This window comes from Homo sapiens, chromosome 5 (assembly GCF_000001405.40).
Source record: "Homo sapiens chromosome 5, GRCh38.p14 Primary Assembly".
NCBI lineage: Eukaryota > Metazoa > Chordata > Mammalia > Primates > Hominidae > Homo > Homo sapiens.
Genome location: NC_000005.10, coordinates 6,632,373 through 6,654,288, shown reverse-complemented (window position 1 = coordinate 6,654,288; position 21,916 = coordinate 6,632,373). Strand labels below are relative to the sequence as shown.

Here is a 21,916-nt window from a genome sequence, read left to right as displayed (position 1 = left end):
GGTCAGGAGTCCAAGACCAGTCTGGCCAACATGATGAAACCCTGTCTTTACTAAAAAAAATAAAAAAAATTAGTTGGGCATAGTGGCATGCACCTATAGTCCCAGCTACTCGGGAGGCTGAGGCAGGAGAATCTCTTGAACTCAGGAGGCAGAGGTTGCAGTGAGCCGAGATTGCACCTCTGCACTCCAGCCTGGGCGATAGAGAAACTCCATCTCAAAAAAAAAAATATATTATTATTATTTGCTTATTACTTCATGGTAACTACAGTAGGCATAATTACTTATTTATGTAATTTCACGTCTGTTTCCTCACAAAAACAATAAACTCTAGGCAATAAATATAACACACAAAAGGTAACCTAGATTGTCTTCCACTTGGCATATTTTTTCCTTTTCAAATCCTTCTGTTTAATTGTAGAGAAGTCAAGAGGTCTGTCTACAATTGATTGGTGTTTGGAATCTCTGACCAGCTTCACAGTCACCTCTACGTGATGCGAACCATCTGCGGAGCTACTTTAAACAGGAGGGTTCTTCTGTTGTTGTTCACCATAGAGGTGAGTCCCATGAGACTCTCTGGCAAACATTTAAAATCTGTATCTTTAGTTAAAAAGAAAAAAAGAAAGAAATTCCCCTTCCTCTTATTCCTTGTTACCACTTGCGGAAGCTCAGCTTGGTGAGGTGGTGGAAATCACCGCTCTGCCATTCACTGCGTCTAGATGTCTTGGGCCAGCTGTGTAACTCTTCTGACCTTTCACATCTTAGGGACATCCTTTCTGCCTCAGAGAACATGGGGAGGCATAAATCGTGTGATCTGCACAGGAACTCAAAAGCCTGTTCTTCCTCTTGACAGGTAGGGCAGAAGAAAATAAAGTAGTCAAAAAGCAGGTAAACCAAGAAGATATTTGGGGGTAGTGTACAACAGTTTAGTACCAAAGAATTTAGTCTAGCATTTCATGGAGGCACAGACTCTGGAGCTAGAAAAGGATCTTGAAACGCCTTCTCAGCCAACCCTCCTTTTGTAGAGGAGGGACAGGTGTCTCACTGTAACGATCCTCAGGTATGATGAAACCTTGGAATAAAATTCTAATTCACCAACAAAAAACATGGCTGAGAAATGTGAAAGGGATCTCTCAGCAACAAAGTACTATCCAAGTGTTAGTTTATTTCTATGATTATAAATTAATACACATGGAGAAAAAGCACAATGCAATGTAAGGTCACTTTATGTAGCTTAAGGTGAAGCACTGCAGGGTAGTTTGCAAATCTGACAGACTGACTTCAGACTTTTAGCATGCTACCATTGTAAGCAACACCTCAGTATGGTTTAATATCTAAATGCTAGGATAGACTAAACAAATATATAGAAGAACCTTTCTTATATATAAGATCCCTGAGTTTTTTTTTTTTTTTTTTTTGAGACAGAGTCTCACTCTGTCACCCAGGCTGGAACGCAGTGGCACAATCATGGCTTACTGCAGCCTTGATCTCCTGGCCTCAGGTGATCCTCCCACCTCAGTGCCTCTGAGTAAGCTGGGACCATGGTGCGTGTCACCATGCCCAGCTACGTTTTTGTATTTTTTGTAGAGCTGGAGTTTCGCCATGTTGCCCAGGCTGGTCTTGAACTCCTGGATTCAAGTCATCTGCCCACCTCAGCCTCCCAAAGTGCTAGGATTACAGTGTGAGCCACTGCACCCAGCCAGAGTGTTAATTTTTAATGCTCTTGCAAATATTTTTGATGGCTGTTTTATTTTCATTTTTGCTTAGAACTTAAAAAGTTATAATTAGAGGTTGAAAATGTACATTAATTCACATTAACTGATACAAATAAAAAAATTCAACAACTTCATAGACCTAAAAGTTGATTCAAGTTCATAGAATCACAGAAGCTGCACTGTAGGAAGCTAACCCAGTCTGGGTTTTCCTCATGTCATGGAAGGAACCGCAGGAGATTATGTGGTCAATGAGTGGCCAAAGGGTCTCAATCTTTAGTCCCTGCTCATTCTGCTACAGCCCACTGCTATTTTTGGGTTCTTGGCCTGACCAGGCACCTGTGCTTCAGTGCCTGCCCGTGCGGGGGAAGGTGCCCAGCACCTGCGTCACCTCTCTGCCCCCAGCTGTGCTGAGACAGCTGGGCTCTCCCATGGGACTCCGGGGTGCTGCTGCTTTCTCTGTTGTCTTTGTTCTCACAGGAAGCTTGGACTTTCTCATTAGAAACCACTGGGACATCAATATAAAAGCAATGATGTGAACAAGGCGGAGTTCACTGCTGTGGACACTCACCTATTAGAAAACGGGGATCTGTTACCCAGTCATCAGCATACACTGCACAATGGCTCAAGTATCTGCTTTGCAAATAGCCGTTACAGGTACAGAACATAATCGCCATTGTACACGCCAACAGTGGCATAGGCTTTCCTCCTCGCATCAGAAATGGGTAAATTAAGCACCTTAGGAAACAAGAAACAGGCACAATTTTTTAAAAAATTAAAGATAATCATTTCTGTAATCCTATCTTAAATGATTTGGGTTTTAAATCTTACTTTCTTGTACAAATGTCATCCTCAGTAACATTTATACTAATTTATTATATCTAAGCTAAAAGTGGATTTTGATTTTAATTTTATTTTTTGAGACAGGTTCTTGCTGTGTTGCCCAGGCTGCAGTACAGTGGCTTGATCATGGCTCACTGCGGCCTTGAGCTCCAGGGCTTAAGCGATCTTCCTGTCCCAGCCTCTCGAGTAGCTGGGACTACAAGCATGTGCCACCACACTTATTATTATTATTATTATTATTTTGTAGAGACCAAGTCTCAATCTGTTGCTCAGGCTGGTCTCAAACTTCGACCTCAAGTGATCTTCCTGCCTTGTTGTCCCAAAATGTTGGGATTATAGGCGTGAGCCACTGTATCCAGCCAAAAAGCAGATTTTTCAATAAAGCATTACCACGTTTCAATCATGTTTACCACAGTGTACAAACTCCAGATTCTACTTACATGCAATATAAAACAGAATACACTGAATTTGAGAAAACTAGGGGCTTCAAGAGGCTCTCAAGATTTCCACTATCCTAAAACCATTAACTAGTCCTAGTCTAAGTAATAAGATTTGGAACACATCATCACATCATCCATCACCATTGCAATGGCTTCCATTCACTGAGCACTTTCACCTGCTAGCCCCACCCCCAATTCCCCCAGCAACTCCTTGCCCCCAGCTCAGCTAACCAGGCAGAGGCACTCTTATCCACATTTGATAGAGGATAAAATTAAGACTCAGAGTGGTAAAGTAAGTTGCTCAAGGCCACAAGCTAGTGAGTGGCTGAGCTTAAATGTAAATCGGGGCAATTGAAAGATCATGTTCATTCTCAGTAAACTATCACAAGAACAAAAAACCAAACACCGCATATTCTCACTCATAGGTGGGAATTGAACAATGAGATCACATGGACACAGGAAGGGGAACATCACACTCTGGGGACTGTTGTGGGGTGGGGGGGAGGGGGGAGGGATAGCATTGGGAGATATACCTAATGCTAGATGACGAGTTAGTGGGTGCAGCACACCAGCATGGCACATGTATACATATGTAACTAACCTGCACAATGTGCACATGTACCCTAAAACTTAAAGTATAATTAAAAAAAAAAAAAGAAAGATCACGTTCTGTTGTACCACACTGGCTTAGGTGCATTTTACTAAAGGTTTAAGGAGTTAAAATAAAAGGACAAGAAATTAGAAAATTATAAAGAGAATGCAAAATGTTATTCTCTGTTTGAATTTTCTTTTTAATATAAGTGTATAACACATTGAAAGAGGGGACATCACTACATATCCTACAGACCTTAAGAGGATAATAAGGAACTCTTTTTTTTTTTTTTTCAAGACAGGGTCTTGCTCTGTCACTCAGGCTAGAGTGCAGTGGGGCAATCATGGCTCACTGCAGCCTCAACATCCTAGGCTCAAGTGATCCTCCTGCCTCAGCTTCCTGAGTAGCTGGGACCTCAGGCACACACCACCACACCTGGTTAATTTAAAAACTTTTTTTTGTAGAGACAGGGTCTCTCTATGTCTGATCTCTAGTCTGGTCTTGAACTCCTGGGCTCACGTGATCCACTCAGATAATAAGGAACTATTATGAACAACCTTATACCAATAAATTTAACAACTTGATGAAATAGACAAAGTCCTTGAAAGACACAGATGACCAAAACTGACCCGAGAAGAAAGAAAGACAACATGAATAGCACTGTTACCAATGAAATAAATCCAATTTAGACTTATGAAATTCTAGAAAAGGCAAAATGAGACTCAGGGGAGAGGATTAACCACAAAGATTAACTTTCCCTTTTTGGGCAATATTACTGCTCTCTATATATTAATAGATTGTGAAGGGTGGGCGGGCAAGATGGCTGAATAGGAACAGCTCCGGTCTTGCAGCTCCCAGCGAGATCGACACAGAAGGTGGGTGATTCCTGCATTTCCAACTGAGGTAACTGGCTTATCTCACTGGGACTGGTTGGACAGTGGGTGCAGCCCACGGAGGGCGAGCCGAAGCAGGGTGGGGCATCGCCTCACCCAGGAAGTGCAAGGGGTCAAGGGATTTCCCTTTCCTAGCCAAGGGAAGCCATGAGAGACTGTACCAGGAGGAACGGTGCATTCTGGCCCAGACACTGCGCTTTTCTCATAGTCTTCGCAACCAGCAGACCATTCTCTCCAGTGCCTGGCTCAGTGGGTCCCATGCCGATGGAGCCCAGAAAGCTAAGATCCACTGGCTTGAAATTCTCGCTGCTCCAGAGCAGTTTGAGGTTGACCTGGGATGCTAGAGCTTGGTGGGGGGAGGGGCATCCACCACTGCTGAGGCTTAAGTAGACGGTTTTACCCTCATAGTGTAAACAAAGCCCCAGGAAGTTCGAACTGGGCAGAGCCAACCGCAGCTCCCTGGGACAGAGCACCTGGGGGAGGGGGCGGCTCTGGGCGCAGCTTCAGCAGACTTAAACGTCTCTGCCTGACAGCTCTGAAGAGAGCAGCGGTTCTCCCAGCACACAGTTCGAGCTCTGATAAGGGACAACCTCCTCAAGTGGGTCCCTGACCCCCTGTGTATCCACACTGGAAGACTCCTCCCAGTAGGGGCCGACAGACACCTCATACTGGAGAGCTCTGGCTGGCATCTGGCGGGTGCCCCTCTGGGATGAAGCTTCCAGAGGTAGGAACAGGCAGCAATGTTTGTTGTTCTGCAGCCTCCACTGGTGATACCCAGGCAAACAGGGTCTGGAGCGGACCTCCAGCAAACTCAGGCAGACCTGCAGCAGAGGGGCCTGTTAGAAGGAAAACTAACAAACCGAAAAAAAATAGTATCGATATCGCCAACATCAAAGACCAAAGGCAGATAAATCCACAAAGATGGGGAAAAACCAGTGCAAAAAGGCTGAAAATTCAAAAAGCCAGAATGCCTCTTCTCCTCCAAAGGATCACAACTCCTTGCCAGCAAGGGAACAAAACTGGATAGAGAATTAGTTTGACAAATTGACAGAAGTAGGCTTCAGAAGGCGGGTAATAACAAACTCCTCTGAGCCAAAGGAGCATGTTCTAACCCAATGCAAGGAAGATAAGAACCTGGAAAAAAGGTTAGAGGAATTGCTAACTAGAATAACCTGCTTAGAGAAGAACAGGTGAAGACATGATGCAGCTGAAAAACACAGCACAAGAACTTCGTGAAGCATACACAAGTATCAATAGCCAAATCAATCAAGTGGCAAAAGGATATCAGTCATTGAAGATCAACTCAATGAAATAAAGCGAGAAGACTTAGAGTGAAAAGAAACAAAGCCTCCAAGAAATATGGTACTATGTGAAAAGACCAAATCTACGTTTGACTCTTGTACCTGAAAGTGACGGGGAGAATGGAACCAAGTTGGAAAACACTCTTCAGGATATTATCCAGGAGAACTTCCCCAACCTAGCAAGGCAGGCCAACATTCAAATTCAGGAAATACAGAGAACACCACAAAGATACTCCTCGAGGAGAGCAACCCCAAGACACATAATTGTCAGATTCACCAAGGTTGAAATGAAGGAAAAAATGTTAAGGGCAGCCAGAGAGAAAGGGCTGGTTACCCATAAAGGGAAGCCCATCAGACTAACAGCAGATCTCTTGGCAGAAACCCTACAAGCCAGAAGAGAGTGGGGGCCAATATTCAACATTCTGAAAGAAAAGAATTTTCTTTTCTTTCATATCTGGAATTTCATATCCAGCCAAACTAAGCTTCATAAGTGAAGGAGAAATAAAATCCTTTACAGACAAGCAAATGCTGAGAGATTTTGTCACCATCAGGACTGCCTTACAAGAGCTCCTGAAGGAAGCACTAAACATGGAAAGGAACAACCGGTACCAGCCACTGCAAAAATATACCAAATTGTAAAGATCATTGACACTATGAAGAAACTGCATAAACTAACAGGCAAAATAACCAGCTAGCATCATAATGAAAGGATCAGATTCACAGATAACAATACTAACCTTAAATGTAAACAGGCTAAATGCCCCAATTAAAAGACACAGACTGGCAAACTGGATAAAGAGACAAGACCCATCGGTGTGCTGTATTCAGGAGACCCATCTCACGTGCAAAGACACACATAGGCTCAAAATAAAGGGATAGAGGAATATTTACCAAGCAAATGGAAAGCAAAAAGCAGGGGTTGCAATCCTAGTCTCTGAGAAAACAGATTTTAAACCAAAAAGGTCAAAAGAGACGAAGAAGGGCATAATGGTAAAGAGATCAATGCAACAAGCAGAGGTAACTATCCTAGATATATATGCACCCAATACAGGAGCACCCAGATTCATAAAGCAAGTTCTTAAAGACCTACAAAGAGACTTAGACTCCCACACAATAATAGTGGGAGACTTTAACACCCCACTGTCAATATTAGACAGATCAATGAGACAGAAAATTAACAAGGATATCCAGGACTTGAACTCAGCTCTGGATCAAGTGGACCTAGTAGACATCTACAGAACTCTCCACCCCAAATCAACAGAATATACACTCTTCTCAGCACCACATCACACTTATTCTAAAATTGACCACATGGTTGGAAGTAAAACACTCCTCAACAAATGCAAAAGAATGGAAATCATAACAAACAGTCTCTTATATCACAGTGCAATCAAATTAGAACTCAAGATTAAGAAACTCACTCAAAACCACACAACTACATGGAAACTGAACAACCTGCTCCTGAATGACTACTGGATAAATAACAAAATGAAAGCAGAAATAAAGATGTTCTTTAAAACCAATAAGAACAAAGATACAACATACCAGAATCTTTGGGACACATTTAAAGCAGTGTGTAGAGGGAAATTTATAGCACTAAATGCCCGCAAGAGAAAGCAGGAAAGATCTAAAATCGACACCCTAACCCACAATTAAAAGAACTAGAGAAGCAAGAACAAACAAATTCAAAAGCTAACAGAAGATAAGAAATAACTAAGATCAGAGCAGAACTGAAGGAGAGACAGACATGAAAAACCCTTCAAAAAAATCAATGAATCTAGGAGCTGGTTTTTTGAAAAGATCAACAAAATAGATAGACTGCTAGCCAGACTAATAAAGAAGAAAAGAGAGAAGAATCAAATAGATGCAATAAAAAATGATAAAGAGGATATCACCACCGGTCCCACAGAAATACAAACTACCATCAGAGAATACTATAAACACCTCTATGCAAATAAACTAGAAAAATCTAGAATAAATAAATAAATTCCTGGACACATACGCCCTCCCAAGATTAAACCAGGAAGAAGTCGAATCCCTGAATACACCAATAACAAATTCTGAAATTGAGGCAGTAATTAATAGCCTACCAACCAAATTCCTCAAGGATCTAGAACTAGAAATACCATTTGCCCCAGCAATCCCGTTACTGGGTATATACCCAAAGGATTATAAATCATTCTACCATAAAGACACATGTACACGTATGTTTATTGTGGTACTGTTCACAATAGCAAAGCCTTGGAACCAACACAAATGCCCATCAATGATAGTCTGGATAAAGAAAATGTGGCACATATACACCATGGAATACTATGCATCCATAAAAAAGGATGAGTTCATATCCTTTGCAGGGACATGGATGATGCTAGAAACTGTCATTCTCAGCAAACTATCACAAGAACAGAAAACAAAATACTGCATGTCTTCACTCATAAGTGGGAGTTGAACAATGAGAACACATGGACGCAGGGAGGGGAACATCACACACTGGGGCCTGTTGTGGGGTGGGGGATCGGGGGAAGGATAGCATTAGGAGAAATACCTAATGCAGATCACGGGTTAATGGGTGCAGCAAACCACCATGGCATGTGTATACCTATGTAACAAACCTGCACGTTCTGCACATATACCCTAGAACTTCAAGTATAATAATAAAGAAAATAAAAAAAAATAGATTGTGAAACTGAATTTAGACTTACGAAATCCAGACAAGGCAAAAATAGAGTCAGGGTGGAGACTGGCCACAATGACACAAAGGGAGTTTTTTAGAGGAATACAGCTGTTCTACCTCTTGATTTGCGGTGATGATTACACAACTATATGCAATCACCAAAATTCATCAAGCTACAGACTTTTTTTTTTTTTTTTGAGATGGAGTTTCGCTCTTGTGGTCCAGGCTGGAGTGCAGTGGCGTGATCTCGGCTCACCGCAACCTCCGCCTCCCGGGTTGAAGCGATTCTCCTGCCTCAGCCTCCCGAGTAGCTGGGATTACAGGCATGTGTTACCACACCCGGCTAATTTTGTATTTTTAGTAGAGACGGGGTTTCTCCATGTTGGTCAGGCTGTTCTCGAACTCCCGACCTCAGGTGATCCACCTGCCTCTACCTCCCAAAGTGTTGGGATTACAGGCCTGAGCCACCGCGACCAGCCCAAATTACAGACTTAAAATGGGTGAATTTTATTATTTGTAAATTATACCTTAATAGAGCAGGAAAAACTGTAAAGCTTGTTATTTGTTTCCATTCTGACCATGTGCGCCAGGGTAAAGTCATAATTAGTCATTAGTTATGGTTATGAACGTCGACAGTAATCACATAATAGTAGTGTCATGCTGGCTGTGCATCCTCAAGCCACTCTCTCCCCAGCACTCCCACTTAACTCCTGGGGAAGACATTCACATGAGTCAAAAGCAGCCTCCAAGGTTCTCATCTCATTCAGGCCAGGACCCCTAGGAAGACTTCATACTGATTTACAGCAAAGCACGTGTTGGCCAGTAAGTGTGCATTCAGATGTTGTGTCATCAGTGAGGTGGGTATTCTCCTGGAAGCTGCAGTGTTGCCAAGCAATGAATAAGAACAACGAATCCCAGCAATTTCTCTCTGCGTCTTGGAATCATGATTCAGATCCGGGCAGACAATGGGTACCATGGGCTGGCATTTGGGATGTAGGCACACTGCAAGTGCTTGCATACCAACATTTCCTGTGGAACAAGCAGAATTTGGTTTTGACAGAGGTACGTGTGGGCTTCTTGGACTGTCATAGGCTCCCTTAAAAACAGGAGGCAATCTTGTCTTGTGATCAGACATCCTTCCTGCCTCGGCCCATTTGTCAACCAGAACAGGAGGCCTTGTGTTAGACCCGGATGGACAGAATTAATGGCAGAAGACAGAGTGGCTCTCACTCTACCCCTCAGTGTACCAAGCTGAGAAGTACCAAGAGCAAGCAGCCCACTTCTGAAGTCAGCTTAGGAGATTCTCAATGCGGCAAAGAGCAAAAGGGACACCGGTATGAGAAAGTTGAGAGAAAACTTCCCTGAGAGTTACGGCCTCAAGTTATTTCCCACTAGGCAAACTGCAGGATAGAGGTGAGAAAGTGTTCAAATTCTAAGTTTGAGGAAATACAGAAAAAAAGAGCAAGACATAAAAGGGGAATGTAAGGCCTGGATTTGGTTTAGCAAGATGTCTATTAAAATAGAAAGGACTCAGTTCATAAGAGGTCGGGCCTCTGGACCTGAAAAAAATCCATCCTAAATTCAATACTGGATAACAGGAAGGCAAGGTGAAAAAGAGGAAGGGAAAATATTAGCAAGGTTGAAATACACAGAATTGAAAATGGCTTAAGACACTTCTGCATTGGATGTCACCCATTTAAACAATGGACAAATGCAGTGTGAGAGAAGCAACTCCCAGGAAACATTCTGCGTATGTGGTGGACGTTCCCTCTGGCATATCAGAATCACATCCAGCGAACCTTGATCCATTTCTCCCAATTTTCTTCTAAGTTGTGGGTTGAATTCTGACCTGAAAAACGTCAGCTGGCAATGACACTAGAACTGTGTCAAAAGAATATAATAGAGGATAATATTATCAGACTCTGCACTCACCAGCCTATTCCCAACTCACAGAAAAGCACTGGTCAGAAAAACTAGAACATTTAAGGCACAGAGGCCAAGGCAGCAGGATTTCTTCACAAAACAAAGGAAAATGAGGCTGCAACCAAAGTAGGTTATCGGGCGGCTCATTGGTTAGTGAAGCAAGGAAAGCTGTGCATCAACGGTGAGTTAATCAACAGCAGCAACCAAAGAGGCGTGTCCAGAGAATACACACTTGTTTCTCACAATTAGCCTTTTGGGGAGAACACTTGCTAGAGGAGTTAAGGACACTGGGAGCACCCTCAACAGTCTATTTAAGCAAGGCAGGACCAGATGCAGTGGCTCATGCCTGTAATCCCAGCACTTCGGGAGGCCAAGGCAGGTAGATGGCTGTGACTAGCCTGGGCAACATGGCGAAACCCCCTCTCTACAAAAAATATGAAAATTAGCTGGGTGTGGTGGTACATGCCTGTAGTCCCAGCTACTTGGGAGACTGAGGTGGGAGGATCATCAGAGCCTGGGAGGTGGAGGCTGCAATAAGCTGAGGATCATGCCACTGCACTCCAGCTTGGGTGACAGAGTGAGATCCTGTCTCAAAATAATAATTAAAAAAGAAAAAGCAAGGCAGATGATGAGCAGTCTTTGTCGGCTCTGGGTGAGTCTATGGATGTTACTGATATGGCTCAGTTGTTTATTTGAGGAGTTCACATCAAGGCTGAAGTGAATGAAGGGTTAGGCTCTTTAGATAGTCTGTGCAGAACAACTACCGGTGAGAATATTTTCAAAGATGTTGAGAAAACACGAATTTAGTAGAATCCAAAGTGGAATCTGCTAAGCTGTTGCAAATGATGGTGATAAAAATGTATGGGACAAAAAAAAAACAAATTACAAACTTACAAACTTGTAAAAATGTAAGGTGTTTCATGCTATTCCTTGTATCAGCAGGTCTTTTGCAGAAAATCTGTTGTGTGTGATTAAGCCCATAGTGTCAACAGTGAATGACAATCCCTCTCATGGACTCAACTATCATCAGTTCTCTAACTTTTTGTCACAAATAAGCTGACTATGCCGATTTGTCCCACATAAATACACCAGTTTGATGGCTTAATAAAGTTTCATCACATTATTTTGAGCTCAGAGCTGAGACTGAAACTTTTCTGAGCAAGAACTGCCCTCACCACCATTATTGAGTTCTGAAGGGCTTAAGTAGCTTTTACTGCAGACTTGATAATAAATTCAACCTAAAGCTGCAAGGCAAAACAGCACTTGTGCAAAACTCATACTGTGTTAAAGTCATTTTGATGACAACTGCCATTGTTCCAATCACAAGTCATATCAAACTGCGTTCTGTACTTTCCATGCTATTAAAATTAAAAGAAGTGAGCTCTCCATGCTCACATGAGTTTGCAGTGGATATAAATTCTAAGTTTAAATACAGTGTGTGAACCTGGATTTCCATATTTCAAAATCCATTTAGCTGTGCAGTGGAAGAGTTGCCATCTAATCTTCCATAGGAAGATATGAATCTGTAATGTAATACCATATGGAAAGGCAAAGATCAAGAGAAGAATCTAACAGGATTCCATGAGTGCCTTCCAAGTGATGATCATGCTCAATTAAAATCATATACATGTGGACTGATGTCAACGCTTCCATTTATAGAGATAAAATACGTAAAATCTCATGACAGATCAACACTGAGAGGAACATTTACAATAGATGTTGATAATAGGAAACACTAACTTTGAATCCCAATAAGTGAAATGTTATCCCTCACCAAGAAAAGAATTCTATTCTTCTCATTAGACATATATTACAAAAAATGCACTAAGATAATATATTTTGAATTTACCACTGAAACTTTTGTGAAAATGTGTTTTCTCTCATCGTAAATACCTACCCAGTATCTTGGCCCACAAAGCCTAAGATATGCACTACCTGGCTCTTTCCAGAAAAGCCTGCTGACAATTAGTCTGAATTAGCACAAGTGTGTTATATTTTGGAGACATCAACTTGACATCAACTTGCTCAGGGCACTGGTGCTACATGGCTGCAGCTGCTGCGGTCTAGGTTTGGCTGTGCTCTGGGAGTGAGGACGTGCTTCTGCGTAGCTGCATTTTTGAATGACTTCTGCTCTAGCACATGCCCTGGATAAGACATTCACAAAGAACCTCAGGATAAGATTTGTCCCTCTTTTTTGTCTCATGTGAATGTCTGAGAACTGCAAGGACTGGAAACCGAGCCTTACAAAGATCGACACCAGTCTCTTCTGGTGTTCTCTGATTCCTGCCCTGGAAGGGGACACCAGTAACCCTGATGCCTATAGGCCTGTCATAAAACCGCTGAAGTCAACAGAGTGGTGGACAGGGGAGAGGAGGGGAGTGCTGCCTCTGCCTCCAGTTGCTAGGAGAAGGTGAGATCTTCTTCCTGACTTCCCTCCCTCTAGAGAGCTCTGACTTGGACCTAGCACTCCGCTCCAAGGAAGCGCTCTGCCCCTCTCAGCATCTCCTGGAAGGCTTTTCTTCTTGCGGGCCATTCCCTTTAGCTTTACTCAGTTTACTTCCTTGGAAATCCATTGTTGTCGGTGAAGATTTTCCTTTGACTGTGGCCAATTTGGAACTCGCGTGGGGTGGGGTCGGGAAGAAGGTGTCTGGGCATGGCTTTTACCTGAGTCTTTGTTTAGACTCTAGAGGGACGACAGCACTTGAGAGAGTGCAGCGGACCCCAGGCATAAATGACAGGGTCCTACTTAGGGCCATGGGGCCAATTTCAGATAGCAAGGAAGGTGGGTGCACCTGCCTGGACATAAATTACTCATGGAACTCACAGCACATCAGTCTGCGGCCCAGACTACCCCAGTTAGGACAGGCATGGGCACTCACAGCCCCTTCTCCTACACCATCCCATTCGCACCCAAAATCACCCTTCCATAGAGGAACAATGGGAAACAACTATTCCCTCTCTTTGAGAAAATAAAGGATTGAACAAGAAGGTGACAGTCCCTTAAGATGGAAACCATTTTTAAGAGAAACTATGAAGCACTTGGATTAAAAAGGATGTTGAGTAATGTGTCATATATCTGTTTTCTGTTCTGATTACAAGCTAACGAATACAAAACAGTCAGGTCTGGGAAGCTACACAGAGATTCTGTTTGCTGATTAATCAGAGTAAATGTAAGATTAAATCTGACACTTTGTTCTCTGTCATGTTATAATTTTCCTATTTTATCTTATTTCTTTCCAGGCAAAGAACAAGGCTTTGGCCTGGTGTGGTGGTAATCCCACCACTTTGGGAGGCCAAGGAAGGAGGACTGTTTGAGCCCAGGAGTTCCGAGACCAGCCCAGGCAACACTGGGAGACCCCATCTCAATTGAAAAAAAAAAAAAGAATAAGACTTGCTTTTCATCAAGTTGTTTTTATAACCCATGAAAACTGCAAACCTTGGTGTCTGTGAGGCCACCAGGAATGGGAGACATGTTTGATGATGGAGCTGAACTGAGAGTATTAATGTGCCAGAATTTATTTGGTGCTTTAATGGCCAGGACGATTTGCAGTTGCCTTTTGGTTAAGTTTACAAGCTTAGATATAATATAAAAGTGCATCTTATAGTTCCTTATCAAAGTGTTTCTAATAATTCCTAATCCTATACTAAATGCCCTTTTTTTACACTGCAAAACTGTGACTATTATCCCTATTTTACAGATCAGAACGTGGAAGCTCACAGGAATATGGTGACATGGCCAGAGAACATCACAGAGGCAGGGCTGGCTGGCAATGTCCCTTTTCCCAGGTGCTCCAGCCACCACACCATGAGGACCCGTTGAGACATGGGAATGTCTGGCCCAAGCATATGAAATCCTCACTGTCAGTCATTTTCATTAAGTGTTTCTATTAAGTCAGAAGAAATACTTACCAACTGCTAAAAGTAGGTTACAAGATGTTGTATGTGTATGTGTGTATCTCTACTGCTTAGAAAAAAACTTATTAAAAGCAATGAAAGATATGGGAAAAAGATAATACCACAATATCGTCAGTTTTATCTCTAAGATGAAATTATAGGCAACTTTTCTTTCTTTCCTTGAATTATTTTCTAAGTTTTCTACAACAAGCATGTATTTCACCTGTAAGTTTGTTCACATACAATATTGACAAGTATCTTAAGTCCTGGCACCTAACATTCAGAACAGACAGAATGAGAGACACGGAGAAATTCAATTTCCTGGGCTAAATTCAATTTCCTAAAAAGGCTTGGAGAAAATCAGGCGAAATTAATAAACAAGCAAACACAGATTATCCATCTAAGGAAAAAGAAAGTGCCCTATAAGCACCCAGGAAGAAAAATGGATTATTGAAAAGAACAAAATCATCGGGGCTGCCTCCATGTCCATTCTTACTGTCCGCGAGGGCTGTGGGGTGGCACCCACACAAGGGCACTGAGAACTCTGAGCTTCTCAAACGTCTGCTCCTAAGCAGCACTTGAGTGATTTCTCCAGCTATTCAAACGGGCAGAATTACCCATACAGTATAAACCCAAGTAACTGGTAAATAACTGTTCATACTCATATGCTCGATGGGACCTGCTCCAAAGGGGAAAGACTCAAAATATAGCACAGTATGCATTCCAGAGGATGAAAATGCAAGCAACTACTTGGAATGACTATTCTTTAAAGCGTTTAAAGTAAGATGTTTGGGTTTTGTCGTCTTGCAAGCAAGTTCTATGCCTGTTTAATTCACACAGGGAACTAAAGAAGTATGTCTTGAAATATTTTCCCAACAAACTGGAATAATAATCCCTTGGTTTACTTATAACAACAAGGCATTTATTCAGCAAATGATTTGACTCTCAAAGCGTCTGGACGTCATCTTTCAGGACAACCTATAATGTTGTACCCCCAAGTTTGGGAACAATGAAATAGAGAATTTGGTTATATGGGAGTAATTTAGGTCATGGTGGATTTAATAATTTTTAAATGTTTAAAACTGAGAGTGGTTAATTTTAATGATCGACTTTATTGCTTTTTTCCCCTAACAACGTGAGACCATTGAAATCTATGGCACTTCCTAGATTTGGGTCTGTTCCTTTCACCTAGCCTTTCCTTCTGTAAAAGACTTTTGAAATGATGGCCAAATTGCACAGCTGCCAACAAAGCATGCTTAAAATAAGTGCTTGGCTATCATTATTTCACTTTTCATCATCCTACACTTTTGAATAGAAGTTTTTCTTTTCTCAGATTATTCCAATCTATGAGGCAAGGGCCAAGGATTCAGTATGCCCTTATTAAAACAAATTAATTAGAAGGCCATCAGGCTGAGATGGTGTCTTGTGTCTTACATAAGCACATGGAAACCCAACAGTGGAAGGAAACTTAAAGCAATCAGAAACTGCCAATTGACTTCTAATGAGAGATTGTTCCAAGGAGAAACCACCCACTAACCTCCGGAACTTTCCACTCTGACCAATCAAATGCTTCCTTTGTCTTGCTTGTGCAAACACGTCTTACAAAATGGCTTTCCCACACACCTTCTAGGTGGAGCTCATACTGCTTGTGGTTTGGTGCTGATTCATGAATTGGTCTGCTCCAAAAAACGCTATGACTTCTTTTTAAGATGGAGTTTAGTGCTTGTTGCCCAGGCTGGACTGCACCTCCACCTCTGGGTTCAAGCGATTCTCCTGCCTCAGCCTCCCAAGTAGCTGGGATTACAGGCATGCGCCACCACACCCAGCTAAATTTTGTATTTTTAGTAGAGACAGGGTTTCAGCATGTTGGTCAGGACGGTCTTGATCTCCTGACCTCGTGTGATCCACCTTCCTCGGCCTCCCAGCGTGCTGGGATTACAGGCATGAGCCACTGCGCCCAGCCTAAAAAAACTACAATTTTAATGCACCTGAGTTTATCTTTTAACACACTTCACCCTCAAAGTTCCCTGCTGTGTTTTAACATTACCCACCGCACATTTAAAAGTGAAGCTGGGCTAGGCTCCCCACAGGAGCCCATTAATAGGATTACACGAGAGATACAAGGAATCAAAGTAGGTGCAATGTTTTGAGGCACCATCGTCAGAGATAAAGACAGAAGCAAAGTCCCACAAGGTCATGGACCTGGCTGAGTACAAACCTGGGACAGGTGTCAGAAAGAGGAGGCCTCTGGGCATCTGACTGTGCACTCTGGGCACCATTTGGCCACCAGTCCTAACAAAGGCAGTCACTGAGGACTCCCGTGGCAAGCGGCACCTCCTGCTCAGGCTCCTCGGAGTTATTTGTTAAATGAATGTGCAATGCAGAGACAATCCCCTGACTAATTCACTGCTGATAGTGGGGAAGGAAAATCCATGAGCAAAGCAGCCTGGGTTCAGGGAATACTGAACAAAGCTGCGTGGGTGGAGAGAAAGAGCATGAGGTCAGGCACAGTCTGCAAAGCCCCCCAGCGACTCCGACACAGTTCAGAGCTAATGCCCTTGACTCCGGGAGACTTTTGCTGTGTCTAGCAAAGCAGGATTTACAAACGAGGGTAGAGAAAGACCAGTGGGGAAGAGTGAAGAAGCCCAGCAAGAACCAACACAGATGATGAGGACCTGGGTTACAGCACCAGCCCAGGGAGACAAAATAGAGGGCCAGGGAACAGGGTAAATGCAGCGGGGCGTCACTGTAATCACAGAGCAGAGGGCAAAGGTGATAGGAGTAGGCACAGGCTTCGGAAGGCCCTAGGGAGGCCTGCCAGGAGGCTGGGGAAGGCACCTGCCTCCAGGGGCTGCCACCATGCCAGACGCCACTCCATGCTCTACATGACTAGGGCCCCAGTGAGACGCTGCCGCCCCTGCACCCAAGAACCCAAGCGCCCTGGGATCAGAAGGAGGCTTCAGCACAGATAGGAGGCAGGCAATCCTTGTCGCTACCGTGAGCCCTAAAGATGTTCCTGAAAATGTCCTTTGCCCTCCTGGGGGAACTGGTCAGGACCACAGCTCGTCCTGCGTCATGGCTATCCCCCCACCCCAGCCCTGTCCCCTTCCAGGCAGCCTGTCCTTCCCTCCCTGGTGTTTGTGTCCAAAAGACCCCATAGATTCTCCATAACCTGTCTTTTACTCCTCAACTCAAAGGGAATGTCTTGTCACTATATCCCCAGCACAACGCCAGGTCCAGAAATCCTCACTGGCACGTAAGTCTTCCTTAAGTGTTTGCTGAATAAATACATGAAAGCGCACCATTCCCTCTATCCCTTCCTTCACCTTTCCTCCCTCCTTGACCTGACTGTCCTGTACTCATTGTTCCCAGAACAGTCAGTTGCTCTGGGAAGAGCTGTAGCTCTGCTGCTGCCTTCAGGCCTCATGGACTGTGGAAAGTCCCTGGACCTGGCTCTGGTCCTTGCCACTCCCAAAAGAGGCTCTAGTTCCCCAAGGCAGGGCCCAACCTCACTCCAGCGAAACCTCACAGGTCAGCACAGGGCCTGTGTGCACACCTGTCAGGTTGTGTAAGGTGGTACTGGCTCTGCCTGGCCAGCGCCTCCTCAGGCTCACTTTTCTCCTGCCTTTCATAAGAGTCATCCTTGTACCCACAGCCTCCTCTCACCGGGTGTGGTGTTCTCCGTTCTCTGCAGGGCCCTGTGCAAATAAAGGGCTCCAGGACGCTTCCAGGGGCTGCTGGGATGGTTTGTGTTCAGTGCTAAATGCTGTTTCCACTCTGGTTCTCTTCCAAGTGCTCATGACTTAGATCAAGTGACTGTTTAATAAATTAGTTGCTTGGGTAGAATGGAAAATGTTTATCTTTTCTATTTGGAAAATGTAAATGTCCCCAAACCACATAGACTATGTACACAATAACATGTACAACTCAAAAAAAAAATAGCCTAGCAATTTAAAAAAAAAACTATACCTGACCCAGCCAATCCTCTTGGAGCAGCTTTTAAACTATTAGTATAGGAAGTGGGCTTTCATCCCAGCAGCTCCTTATCCAACAGCCTCAGGGAAGACAGCAGCATGCTGTGCCTCCGTGTTCTACTCTGTATGAATGAGCTGTTCAAGTTCTATCATTCAAGGTGACTCTGGCCCTTTGGGAGGCTGCATTCATTTTTCTGCTTGAGTGAATGTAGGTACAATGAAACATGATGTCTCAAGTTAAAAAGCTTCCACTTGGGATGTCAGGCAAAACTTTGTCAAGTGTTCCCTTGATTTCCAACACCACAGTTTTGCTGGCACATGAGGCTGGCAGCAGTGCACATGAATGACACACAGAGTACATGTCTGGATGTGCATTCACAGCAATGCAAAATAGTGCTAGGTATTGTGTACTGAGCACGCAGATGCGCCAGCACCATGCAAGCATTTTAGGGAGTTGCCTTTGCTCTAAATTCATGTGATCCCACAGGGGGGTTCCATCACCATGCCCATTCTACAGGTGGGGAAACCTTGCTGCGGGGCAGCTTAGTAACTCATCCAGGGTCATGACTGATGGGACTAGGATAGCACCGAATACTCTGACCTGAGATTGCTTTTAGCCATAAAGAAACAGACATACAGCTTCTGGTATATTTATGGAAAAGTATATACAAACAGCAAAGTCTGACTAATATTCAAATTGTAGCAATGGTTGATCCCATTCCAAAAAAAAAATAAAGCAATGGTAAAGAGTTTCAGGCACACAGTACTCACTAAGCCTCTGATGAATGTTGACTTGCCCTTGTTTAAAGTGCAAGTCATCAAAGCACACTGAGGACACAGACTGCACCAGTTACAGGGTAAGGTGCTGGTTTTCAGGGAACTCAGGTACCAAAAACTGTGCTGGGTACAACACTGGTTCCAAGTAGTGGAGCTGTGTACTTTCTCTTCGCTGGAATGCATGACACCAGGAGAAAGAAGAGAGGCTTATAAACACACACTGAGTTCTTCCTGTCTCTCTGGGAAGTGAGTGTTTTAAGGTGGGACCCCAAATCAGAAAGGTTGGGTAAACTGCCCATAGTCACACAGCCAGTGAGTTCAACTTCCTTGGGTGTAGAGACATCCTTTTTAACTGTGAAGCTTTCCAGAGCCTGAATGAAAACGTTTAAAATTTAATTTTGAACTTTCGACCTGTCGTTTGCTTTGGCTGTGTAAAAGCCAAAAGATACGACCTGGAGAGAACCCCAACTTATTAGAAGGCTTGAAGATTTCAGACACAGCCAGTTTTCAAATATTCAAAAAAACAAAAACCTTGAAAGATTTAGAAGTCATCTTTAAGACTTCGTTTGTTTAAGGTTTAAGGTTGCTGGCTTTCCACCCCCACAATCCTGGGGTCCCTTGCATAAGGTGGACATGAAAGTCTCTGAAAGTGATCAAGCCTATAAGGAGAAACTGCTAGGCAGTTTTAGGACAGCAGGTTTCCAGTTGCAGCTGATCACTTGGCTGGGAGAAAACAGCTCCACCATCACCAAAGATACCAAAAGGGGAACCGGCAGAAAGGAGTAGAAACCAGTGGCCCTCAAGACCGACCATCAGCATTAGACTCTAGGCCAACCCCCTCCCCCCCGCCCCCACAGTCGTGATCTAAGGGAACAAAATCTAGTCTTCATTTTTATTTTACATTTTTACTTTTTAACTCTTTATTTTTATATATTTAATTTTGAGACAGAGTCTCGCTCTGTCACCCAGGCTGGAGGGCAGTGGCGAGATCTCGGCTCACTGTAACCTCCGCCTCTCGGGTTCAAGCGATTCTTCCATCTCAGACTCCCGAGTAACTGGGATCACAGACAGGCGCCACCGCGCCCGGCTAAGGAAACCAAACCTAGGACCACTGAGTGGCTCTTTCCAGATCAGTTTCATCATGTTTTTTTCCATCACTCCCTTCCAGTCCTTTGTTTCCCGCCCTTTCCAGACGAATCCCTTCTGGTTTCCAAACTCCCGGGGCCGGGGGACTCGGGGAAGGGCACCCGTGCAGATGGGGGACGCCCCGGGGGATCTGGCAGGGAGAGGGCATCTGGGTGGGGGAGGCTTCGGGGAGAGGGCACCGGGCAGTGAGGGGAGGGTCGGAGAGGACGCCGGGCCGGGAGTAGGGTAGGGGGCCGGGGGCCGGGGACGTTACCGATGCCCGTAGTGGACGAGGAACATGGCCAGGAGGATGCAGTTGGGCGCGCTGCGGAGACGCGGGGCGGACTCGCTGGCGTACTGGTAGAGCGGCAGGGCCAGCGAGGGCAGCTCCTGCACCACCCAGGCGGCCCGCGCCGGCACTCGGAGCCTGTGGCTGGGCAGCGCGTGGCGGCCGTACACTGAGTTCGTCTGACGATTGCGCGCGAAGACCGCGCAGCCCACGGCGCACTGCAGGTAGGCGAGCGCGGCCAGCAGGCGCTCCTCCGCCACCCCCGTCGCCGTTGCCATCGCCAGGGCTGGGCAGCGTGCTCCATGCCCCAGAGGCCGCGGCGGGCAACATATAGGGCGGCGGCGCGGGGGCAGGAGGGGCGGCTACCGGAGGGGCGGCTACCGGAGTCCCGCACTGCCGGGACTCTGCAGAAAGGGTTCTCAAGTCAGGCTTCTCCGGGGTAGCCGGGGCTGTGGGTGCGGCCCCGGGGGCGGGGCGAGCACTTGCGCGGGGAGGGACCTGCAAGCGCCCCACCCACGCCGGGGCCGCAGTAACCCCGCGCCGCTCTGCGCACGCGCGGCTTCAGGCTGTCCGCGGAGCTCCTTGAGCCCGCGTGGGAAACCTGGGCGCTTCGCGCGGAGACGCCTTTGTGGCTGCTTCCTGGAGCATTTTTTTCCCCTTAGAGCTGTTCGCTGTTTTCCCTGTCACGCCGCTTTTCTGAAAGACGGGTTGTGCGCTTTGGGCTTATTCCTGGACGGTCCCCAAAGGTCCCCGAAAGGACCAGGCCCGGACACGTGGGGCCTTGGTTTCCGGCCGGAAGTCCCGGGAGGTGTAGGGCTAGAGTTCTGGCCGTGGCGGGCCGGTTTCTGCGTGCTGCGTGCGCGGCCGCGTGGGCTATGGGGCGGCGGTCGCGGGGTCGGCGGCTCCAGCAACAGCAGCGGCCGGAGGACGCGGAGGATGGCGCCGAGGGTGGTGGAAAGCGCGGCGAGGCGGTAGGAGCCGGGACCCGGCGGGCGGGCCAGGGGCTCCTCCTGGGCTTCCCGGACCCCGAGGCCTGCGAGGCGGCGGCGAGGGGGCGGCTCCTTGGGCCTCGGGGTAGACGTCTCTTTCCTTCCTCAGGGCTGGGAAGGAGGCTACCCCGAGATCGTCAAGGAGAACAAGCTGTTCGAGCACTACTACCAGGAGCTCAAGATCGTGCCCGAGGGCGAGTGGGGCCAGTTCATGGACGCTCTCAGGGAGCCGCTCCCGGCCACTTTAAGAATTACTGGTTACAAAAGGTAGGGAGGCAGTGCCTGATTTTTTGGGAGTTGGGGCCAGGATGCTGGAGGTTAAAGGCGACGGTGTTTTCTTCGACAAGTGTTACAGTGCCAGAGAACCGTGGCGTTTCAGCGGTTTGGATTCAGGAAGCATTGAGGTGGGGAGCACAGGGTCCAATGAAATGGTCACGGAGGTATTGCAGGCGCAAGGTTAGAAGACGAAATGAAAATGAGATCTGAGGAAGAT

The 21,916-nt window shown here is 45.4% G+C and overlaps 2 protein-coding genes across 7 annotated transcripts in view, besides 6 other annotated features; one reads left to right on the top strand and one right to left on the bottom strand.

The window, feature by feature from the left end:
* Positions 1–20,849, bottom strand: part of SRD5A1 (steroid 5 alpha-reductase 1) — a 40,947-nt gene extending 20,098 nt beyond the window's left edge. Inside the window, exons 1-3 of one of the 4 annotated variants that reach the window (NR_136739.2) lie at positions 20,420–20,849; positions 2,281–2,447; positions 653–842 (exon numbers count right to left, since the gene is read on the bottom strand). Coding sequence is in view for 3 of the 4 variants with exons in the window: in NM_001047.4 (NP_001038.1) it covers positions 2,281–2,447; positions 20,420–20,712 (460 nt within the window). In the remaining variant the exon portion in view is untranslated. Of the gene's footprint in view, positions 1–652; positions 843–2,280; positions 2,448–8,979; positions 9,482–20,419 lie in introns of all 4 variants that reach the window. The other 3 variants (NM_001324323.2, NM_001047.4, NM_001324322.2) reach the window with 3 other exon arrangements.
* Positions 4,066–4,757: an enhancer, noted in NCBI's record as "H3K27ac-H3K4me1 hESC enhancer chr5:6649645-6650336 (GRCh37/hg19 assembly coordinates)". NCBI's record gives its function as "activates a minimal SCP1, AML or CMV promoter by ChIP-STARR-seq in naive H9 embryonic stem cells {active_cell/tissue: H9 hESC(naive)}" and the evidence as "EXISTENCE:reporter gene assay evidence [ECO:0000049][PMID:30033119]".
* Positions 4,758–5,451: an enhancer, noted in NCBI's record as "H3K27ac-H3K4me1 hESC enhancer chr5:6648951-6649644 (GRCh37/hg19 assembly coordinates)". NCBI's record gives its function as "activates a minimal SCP1, AML or CMV promoter by ChIP-STARR-seq in naive H9 embryonic stem cells {active_cell/tissue: H9 hESC(naive)}" and the evidence as "EXISTENCE:reporter gene assay evidence [ECO:0000049][PMID:30033119]".
* Positions 20,126–20,637: an enhancer, noted in NCBI's record as "H3K27ac hESC enhancer chr5:6633765-6634276 (GRCh37/hg19 assembly coordinates)". NCBI's record gives its function as "activates a minimal SCP1, AML or CMV promoter by ChIP-STARR-seq in naive and primed H9 embryonic stem cells {active_cell/tissue: H9 hESC(naive and primed)}" and the evidence as "EXISTENCE:reporter gene assay evidence [ECO:0000049][PMID:30033119]".
* Positions 20,613–21,002: a silencer, noted in NCBI's record as "silent region_15899". NCBI's record gives its function as "represses an Ori minimal core promoter by ATAC-STARR-seq in GM12878 lymphoblastoid cells {active_cell/tissue: GM12878}" and the evidence as "EXISTENCE:reporter gene assay evidence [ECO:0000049][PMID:35858748]".
* Positions 20,613–21,149: a biological region, named in NCBI's record as "H3K27ac hESC enhancer GRCh37_chr5:6633253-6633764".
* Positions 20,638–21,149: an enhancer, noted in NCBI's record as "H3K27ac hESC enhancer chr5:6633253-6633764 (GRCh37/hg19 assembly coordinates)". NCBI's record gives its function as "activates a minimal SCP1, AML or CMV promoter by ChIP-STARR-seq in naive and primed H9 embryonic stem cells {active_cell/tissue: H9 hESC(naive and primed)}" and the evidence as "EXISTENCE:reporter gene assay evidence [ECO:0000049][PMID:30033119]".
* The window catches only part of NSUN2 (NOP2/Sun RNA methyltransferase 2), a 33,806-nt gene continuing 33,134 nt past the window's right edge, over positions 21,245–21,916 (top strand). For all 3 annotated transcript variants that reach the window (NR_037947.2, NM_001193455.2, NM_017755.6), the window contains exons 1-2: positions 21,245–21,405; positions 21,533–21,690. Coding sequence is in view for 2 of the 3 variants with exons in the window: in NM_001193455.2 (NP_001180384.1) it covers positions 21,310–21,405; positions 21,533–21,690 (254 nt within the window). In the remaining variant the exon portion in view is untranslated. The remainder of the gene's footprint in view (positions 21,406–21,532; positions 21,691–21,916) is intronic.